Source organism: Homo sapiens, chromosome X (genome assembly GCF_000001405.40).
Source record: "Homo sapiens chromosome X, GRCh38.p14 Primary Assembly".
In the NCBI taxonomy this organism is placed as follows: domain Eukaryota; kingdom Metazoa; phylum Chordata; class Mammalia; order Primates; family Hominidae; genus Homo; species Homo sapiens.
In genome coordinates, this window is record NC_000023.11 from 26,137,988 (window position 1) to 26,146,947 (window position 8,960).

General features: G+C 44.1%; 1 protein-coding gene across 1 annotated transcript; it reads left to right on the forward strand.

The window, feature by feature from the left end:
• Positions 356-2,749, forward strand: MAGEB18 (MAGE family member B18). Its single transcript, NM_173699.4, has 3 exons — positions 356-480; positions 937-2,066; positions 2,193-2,749. Exon 2 carries the CDS (start codon positions 999-1,001, stop codon positions 2,028-2,030), a length of 1,032 nt encoding a protein of 343 aa, NP_775970.2. The 5' UTR covers positions 356-480; positions 937-998; the 3' UTR covers positions 2,031-2,066; positions 2,193-2,749.

Consider the following 8,960-nt stretch of genomic DNA (forward strand, 5'->3'; position numbering starts at 1 on the left):
AGTGCCTTATTTGATGGCCTCAAGTCAGCAGAGAAGTGGCCCAGCACCTACAAAAAGTCAAGATAAGACACTGAGTGAGGACTGAGGGCATTACCTACCCAAGAAGAGGGACCCCCACAGAGCCCCGCCCCTACTGTCAATCTTGGGAGTCCCCAGGCGTGGCTGCTGGGCTCAGGTTCCACCTTACTTCCTACTCTGGACTCAGGGAAATGATCCTTTTTCTGAGGCTGACTGATTCAGCTTAGCAAAGAGAGAAGTCCCAGTGCCTGCAAAGTCAATGAAAGAAATATATGTATTTCTTTAAGAACTGCCCCTCCCCCGAACGCAGAACCATTTGCCGTTAAGCTGGGAGAGCAAAGTGGGCGTGGCCGGACATGTTTCTCTTGACCTATCTTCCACATCATCAAGCTGTTACGGGCGAAACCTTGGTCTGAAACATGCGGCCAGAGAAATAAATCTCAGGATCCGGCAGGTGTCAAAGTGAGTATCATTTGTTATGACCTTCAAGACACACTCTTCCCAGAACAGAGGCTGCCTCACAGAGACCCATCCTTCTCTGCTCTGTCCTGCTCCCACTTTCAACTCTCTGTGTCCCAAAGCGCAGCTGTTAGGCCTAACACCCTTACTTCCTGTTGGGAATCTGTGGGATGGGAAGCCATGGTCTAAAGCGAGGCAGCCTCAAGTCAACAGACGGAGGACTCAAAAGACTAAAGTAAAATTAATATCCTAAGTTAGAACTGATGTAGTCAGGAGTAAAATTAATATCCTGAGTTAGAACTGATGTGACAACCCCCCACAGAACAGTCCCACCCCGCTCCTGCCTTATGGGTTCCTAAAGCAATACCCTCAAGAGAACCAGGAGAGGTGGCCATTCTTAGACCAAGGTAGAATCTCCCTACCAAGGCTGTGAACACTATCTCATCCTCCGTCTTCTAGGGTGCCCTCTTCATCAATTCAACTGCCTGCACTATTGTCTGTAGTCCCTGACAAGAGTAATTATGCCTCGAGGTCAGAAGAGTAAGCTCCGTGCCCGTGAGAAACGCCACCAGGCTCGTTGTGAGAATCAGGATCTGGGAGCTACGCAGGCCACTGTGGCAGAAGGAGAGTCACCCTCCCCTGCCTATCTTCTCTTTGGTGACAGACCCCAGAATTTGCCTGCTGCTGAGACACCTAGCATCCCTGAAGCGCTTCAGGGAGCCCCATCCACCACCAATGCTATTGCACCTGTTTCATGCAGTTCAAATGAAGGTGCCAGCAGCCAAGATGAGAAAAGTCTAGGTTCCTCAAGGGAAGCTGAGGGCTGGAAAGAAGATCCTTTAAACAAGAAAGTAGTGTCGCTGGTGCATTTCTTGCTTCAGAAGTATGAAACGAAAGAGCCAATTACAAAGGGAGATATGATAAAGTTTGTTATCAGGAAGGATAAGTGTCACTTCAATGAGATCCTCAAGAGAGCCTCTGAGCACATGGAGCTGGCACTTGGTGTTGATTTGAAGGAAGTGGATCCCATCAGGCACTACTATGCCTTTTTCAGCAAATTAGACCTCACCTATGATGAAACAACCAGTGATGAAGAAAAAATTCCCAAGACTGGCCTCCTGATGATTGCACTGGGTGTGATCTTTCTGAATGGCAACCGTGCCCCAGAAGAGGCAGTCTGGGAAATTATGAATATGATGGGTGTATATGCCGATAGGAAGCACTTCCTCTATGGGGATCCCAGGAAGGTCATGACCAAAGATTTGGTGCAGCTAAAGTACCTGGAGTACCAGCAAGTGCCCAACAGTGATCCTCCACGCTATGAATTCCTGTGGGGTCCAAGAGCTCACGCTGAAACTAGCAAGATGAAAGTCCTGGAGTTTGTAGCCAAGATACATGATACCGTCCCTAGTGCCTTCCCATCCTGCTATGAAGAGGCTTTGAGGGATGAGGAACAGAGAACCCAAGCCAGAGCTGCAGCCAGGGCTCATACTGCTGCCATGGCAAATGCACGTTCCAGAACCACGTCTAGCAGCTTCTCCCATGCTAAGTGAAATCTGAGGCTTGTTCTTCACTTTTTGGTCGAAAAGGTCTGTCAACATTCTAATAGTGGAGGGCCATGGTGGGGCTGGAAGAAATAAGTGTATATCATCTTTGCATTCCTATTGTATATTGATAACTCGAGTTTTACTTTTCCATCTTTTTGTTTCCCCTAGGTTACATTTCAAATGTTCAAGTCTGAAGATTGTTTTCTTTGTGGAAGAGAAGAGCAGTCAACATTCTAAGTAGTGAATGGCCAGAGTGCGTCTGGAGGGAACACAGCATATATCATTTTGTGTTAATAGTCTATAGTAACTCGGAGTTGTATCTTTTTCTTTCTTTTTTTTTTGGTGTTATATTTCAAATGTTGTTGCTTATAATAGAAGTTTTAGATAACTTCAGAATCTATATTTATTAATGACTTTGGTTACACACGTATTGCTATTTAAGAGTAGGAGTTTTATTGTTCTGTAAAACAAATTGGGAAACCTTCTTTCATATTTAATGAGCCAGAACAAGGAAACACAGTATTGGAATAGGTATTTCCTTAAAAAATGTGAGATGATTTAGCAGTAAAATTTTGGAGATCAAAACATAGGTGAGAAAAAGTAAACTTTTCAGTTCTTGGTTTTCTTTTTCCATTTTAGTCTGTTATATAAAAATAAAAGTCATACCTGGATTGGCTTAGCTTACTGAAGAAGGTAGGAAGAAATAAAATGTTTATGAACCAGCATCTATGCTTACCGGCTCATTCATTCCTCCAATATTAATCCAACATCTGATTTTTGAAAGTAATTTTGTTAGAAATGGGAAAACCAGGATACAAAACACCCACCTCTGCTTAGACTTTTACAATTAATGAACAGTAATAATGTATGGAAGATGGTGAAATACTTCTAAGACCTAAAGGACAAGTAACAAGAGGGAGTAAGGAGGTAAGGAGTTAGAGAGGGGTTTGGGAAAAGTGCTGAAGTGTATCTGGCTGAAAATGGTAAGGTGCAAATTCTCTGAAGAAAGGCCCTTTTAGACTTTTGGAAACTTTGAGTCTCTCAGTGGGATATACTTTTAATTTAAGCTGGGTGGTGGGCTAGATGAAGCTTTGGGACTGGAGAGCAGAGGCCAGGCACTCAGATGGTGTGTCTCATTGTTGAAGGACAAAACCCTGGAGTGGAAAGCTCCACTTAAGAGTTACCTTGGTGACATCAATAAACCAGAAGAAAACCTCGGCCGGGCGCAGTGGCTCACGCCTGTAATCCCAGCACTTTGGGAGGCCGAGGCGGGCAGATCACGAGGTCAGGAGATTGAGACCATCCTGGCTAACATGGTGAAACCCCATCTCTACTAAAAATACAAAAAAATTAGCTGGGCATGGTGGAGGGCGCCTGTAGTCCCAGCTACTTTGGAGGCTGAGGCAGAGAATTGCTTGAACCTAGGAGGCGAAGCTTGCAGTGAGCCGAGATCTTGCCACTGTGCTCCAGCCTGGGTGACAGAGCGAGACTCTGTCTTAAAAAAAAAAAAAAAAAAAAAAAAAAAATCTCTTGGGGCAGAAGTGAGAAGTGGATAGTGTCCTGTGCTCTTGTTCACATTCAGTTGAACACATAGCACAATCTACTTATTTTATGCACAGCCTCTCCAGGAAATTTTTGAGAAATAATGGTGAAACTGCCTTGATGTGGGATGCTGAAAAGCTACTGTGTTGGCTCCTTTGCTCTGAACTGAGAGAGCCAAATCCTAGTATTTAAAAGGACATATTTTTGAGACAGGGTCTGGTTCTTTTCCCCAGGCTGGAACACAGTGGTGCAATCATGGCTCACTATAGCCTTGACTTCCCAGGCTCAAGCAATCCTCCCACATTAGCCTCTCAAGTAGCTGGGACTAGAATCACACATCACCCTACCCAGCAAATTTTTTGTATTTTTGTACAGACAGGGTTTCACTGTGTCACCAAGGCTGGTCTTGAACTCCTGACATCAAGTGATCCACCCACTTCAGCCTCCCAAAGTACTGGGAATACAGGTGTGAACCACCACACTCATCTTAAAAGGATATTTTAATTAAGTTATCTTCAGTATAATTTGGCAAACTCTAAGGGAGAACATATTTGATGATGATGAAATGAATGAAAATAGGGGTGGTTTGGATGGAATGGCACCTGGGAGGGAAGTTGTTGGTCCTTGACACAAATTCTAGGACTTTGTGTTTCATTCAACTGGGGAAGACTCCCTACATGCAAATTAAACAACTTATCTTCAAATGGGGAAATTTTATTTGCTTTTATATGCTAAATACATAATGGGCTAATTTGATATTAATTGTCCTAGAAAGCTGCATATTTTCCTCAATTAATAAAAATAAATCTCCCAAGAGGGGAGGGTGATATCATCTGTGGTAAAAATAATTATAATTATATAACTACCATTCTTTAAAGACCCAATATTTTCCATAATTCTGCTAAGTGCTTCATATCCATTACATAGATTCCAACAGTGCTACAAGTTAGGGCTTATCAGACATTATTTGCCAAACTTGTAATTTGAAGTTTACATGGCTAATAGGTGACAGAGCTGAGACTAGACCCCTGGTCTAATGTGGCCAGAATTATTCTATGCTCACATTTTTCTACTCCTCCCAATCTGAGGCAGATCTTTTGTCTAATTCACTAGTCTTTTCACTACTGCAAAATCTATTACAATTAAAAATAAAGGACTCTGGCCAAAGTACTAAAAGCAGGCCTGTATTAGGTTGTTCTCACATTGCTATAAAGAAATATCTGAGACTGGGTAATTTATAAAGAAAATAGATTTAATTGGCTCATGGTTCTGTAGGCTATACAGGAAGCATAGCGGTATGTGCTTCTGGGGAGGCCTCGGAAAACTTACAATCATGGTGGAAGGTGAAGGGAAAGCGGGCATGACTCACATGGCTGGAACAGGAGGAAGAGAAAGAAGGGGTAGGTGCCACACACTTTTAAACAACCAGATCTCATGAGAACTCAGGACAGTATGAAGGGGGAAATCTACCCCCGTAATACAATCACCTCCCACCAGACATCATCTCTAGCCTTGGGGATTACATTTCACCATGAGATTTGGGTGGGGACACATAGCCAAACTGTATCATTTCATCCCTGGCCCCTCTCGAATCTCATGTCCTTCTCACATTGCAAAATCCAATCATCCCTTCCCAACAGTGCCCCAAAGTCTTAACTCATTCCAGCATTAACTCAAAAGTCCAAAGTCTCATCTGAGACAAGGCTAGTCCCTTTCACTTATGGGAAAGAAAAAAAGTTACTTCCAAGATACAAAGATACAATGGCAGTAAAAGCATTGGTTAAATACTCCCATTCCAAAAGGGAGAAATCAGCCCAAAGAAGGGGAATACAGGCCCCATGCAAGTCAGAAACCTAGCAGGGCAGTCAGTAAATATTAAAGCTCCAAAATAATCTTTTTTTTTTTTTGAGACGGAGTTTCACTCTTGCTGCCCAGGCTGGAGTGCATGCCTTCTGCCTTCAAGTGATTCTCCTGCCTCAGCCTCCAAAATAGCTGGGATTACAGGTGTGTGCCACCACGCCTGGCTAATTTTGTATTTTTTTTTTAGTAGAGAGGGGGTTTCACCATGTTGGTCAGGCTGGTCTCGAACTCCTGACCTCAAGTGATCCACCTGCCTCGGCCTCCCAAAGTGCTGGGATTACAGGTGTGAGCCCCCGCGCCTGGCCCAAAGTAATCTTTTTTGACTCCGTATTCCATATCCAAAGCACTCTGATACTCCCAAGCTCCACCCTTGTGGCTTTGCAGGCTTTAACCCCTGTGGTTGCTCTCATGGGCTGGCACTGAGTGCCTGCAGCTTTTCCAGGTGCATAGTGCAAGCTTCCAGTAGATCTAACATCACAGAGTCTGGAGGACGATGGCCCTTTTATCATAACTACACTAGACAGTGTCCCAGTGGGGATTACGTCTGGGGGCTCCAACCCCACATTTCCCCTCAACACTGCCTTAGTAGAGGCTCTCCATGAGGGCTTGGGCCCTGCAGCAGGCTTCTGTCTGGACATCCAGGTGTTTCCATACATCCTCTGAAATCTAGGTGGAGGCTCCCAAGCCTCAAGTCTTGCACACTGTGTAACGATAGACTTAACATAATGTGGAAGCTGCCAAGGCTTACAACTTGCACCCTCTGAAGCAGCAGCCTGAGCTGTACCTGGGCCCCTTTGAGCCACAGCTGGTGCTGGAGTGGTCAGGATGCAGGGAGCAGTATCCTGAGGCTACACAGAAAGCAAGAGCGGGTGGGGAGGGCTGGGCATGGCCCACAAAACCAACCATTCATTTCTCCTAGACCACTGGGCCTGTGACGGTAGAGACTGCTGTGAAGTCTCTGCAATGCCTTCAAGGCCTTTTTCCCAGGGTCTTGGCTATTAGCACTTGGCTCCTTTTCACTTATGCAAATTTCTGCAGCCTGCTTGAATTCCTCCCCTGAAAATAGGCATTTGTTTTCTACCACATGGCCAGGCTGCAAATTTTCCAAACTTTTATGCTCTGCTTCCCTTTTGAATATAAAGCTCCAGTTTTACATCATTTGTTTGATCACATATATGAGCATATATTGTTAGAGGCAGCCAGCTCACATCTTGAATGCTTTGCTGCTTAGAAATTTCTTCTACCAGGTAACCTAAATCATCACTCTCAAGTTCAAAGTTCCACAGATCCCTAGGGCAGGGGCACAATGCCACCAGGTTCTTGGCTAACACATAACAAAAGTGACCTTTGCTCCAGTTCCCAGTACGTTTCTTATTTCCATCTGAGACCTCCTCACCTCCTCAACCTGAACTTCATTGTCCAAATCACTATCAGCATTTTGGTCACAACCATTCCACAAGTCACTAGGAAGTCCCAAATTTTCCCTCACCTTCCTGTCTTCTGAGCCCTCCAAAACCTTCCAATCTCTTCCCATTACCCAGTTCCAAAGCTGCTTCCGCATTTTCAGGTATCTTTGTAGCAGTGCCCCACTCCTGGATACCTTGGGCAGCCCTTCTTTTCTTTATAAATTATCCAGTCTCAGATATTTCTTTATAGCAAAGCCATTCTCACATTGTTCTAAAGAAATACCTGAGACTGGGTAATTTATAAAGAAAAGAGGTTTAATTGGCTCACAGTTCTGTAGGCTGTACAGGATGTTTCTGCTTCTGGGGAGGCCTCAGAAAACTTGCGATCATGGCAGAAGGTGAGGGGGAAGCAGGCACATCTTACATGGCTGAAGCAGGAGGAAGAGAGAGAATGGAGAAGTACTACACACTTTTAAAAAACAAGATCTCATGAAAACTCAGGACAGTACCAAGGGGGAAATCTGCCCCCATAATTCAATCACCTTCCACAGTGCCCCACCTCCAGCCCTTGGGATTGTATTTCAACATGAGATTTGTGGGAGGACATAGATCCAAACCATAACAAGGCCTAAATAAGGAAGGTAAAGATGAGAATAAAGCATACATTTGGGATTATTTGTGGGATTCATTTTCTGAGGATCCTCCTGTCCCTAGCCCAAGGTTTCCTTGAGAGTAGAATTCTGCCCAAGTGCTGGGACATGAGTCCTGATTCAGCACTTTCTTACATTACAGCACCTTTCCCCTAAGTATTCCCCAGTGTGCCTTCATATATAAACTGGCACCTTGTCTTCTACCGAGCTCTTCACTGCCTTCTCTGAAGATTGCACCCCTGTTTTCCGTGATACGGACAGACCAGAATCACTTGTCTGACTCTAGACTTAGAGCATCCTGCTCTCTGCAGATGCCCCTTGGAGGTCCCATCCCTTTCAGTGGAACCTCTGACAGTGATGTTTAGACATCTGATTACCACAACCGCCCCTTCCACCCCACATCTTTAAGTAGTCTTAAAGTGTATTTCAAATGAACCAATTATTAGAGTCTGGTTATGATTTTTCACAGATGATGTACTGGTTCTTGGGATGTAACTGAAGTGTGAAAGAAGGTTTTTTTTAATAACCCAGATTTTCAGTAGGATTTTTAAAGGGTGTGCTATTTGAGACCAGTCCCTGAACAAATGCACTGATGGGTGAGACTACCTAGATGGTCCAAAACAAAGCCACCTTCGTAAGTTGGAGGTGAGGAAAGGCCATGGAAATCACTGTGAAGCAAACATCTACTGAGGCCAAATTCCTCAGCCCTCCTCCCATCAGAGTCTGTCTAAGAAGAAAAAAATGGCTTTTTGGCAGACATGCTGTGTTTGAACAGCAAAGATAAAAATAATTCACCATTGTTGTGCTGCCTCTTATCTCACTACTGGTCCCAGAGGAAAATCCTGATTTTTTCCTTGTGCCAAATGGCACTTGTAAGTGTCCTGCACGTTCAGTCATGTTGAGGTTTGCAGAATTCATAAGTCAAGATTCTTACCATGCAGAAATAGAAAGGTGCACATTCTTATCCTATTGACACTCAGTGCAGTGAGATCAGTGCAGAAAGGTGCTACTGAATGAAAAAGGAGAATTCCCCATGCTGAGATTTTACAGGGTCCTTTTGAAAATGAAATGTGATCCTGTATTTGAAAGCAACTGTCATGTAGGAGGCTGACAGAAATTGTTGAAGAATTGCAAGGCAAATTTGCCTCCTTAGAAACTCCACCAAGAAATGAAGAGGGTTGTTTTCATAACAAATTCTAATAATTATTCCTTTACCATGCACTTATTATGTAACAGTTAATGAGAGAGACTGCAAGTGCTCATCCACATGGTGTCTTACTCTCCTTTCTGGACTCATGGGAAGACTGTATTACCCAGTTCACCTGTAGTTAGGAAGAATTATGTGACTTCCCTTGCCCCTGAAACATAAGCTATCAAGAGCTCATGCTGAGATGTAAAGCAACATGTTGGAGGCAGCCTGTATCTCTGGATCACCTGTTAGTGGAGACCCCTGCCCACTTACATCAGATTTTATGTGT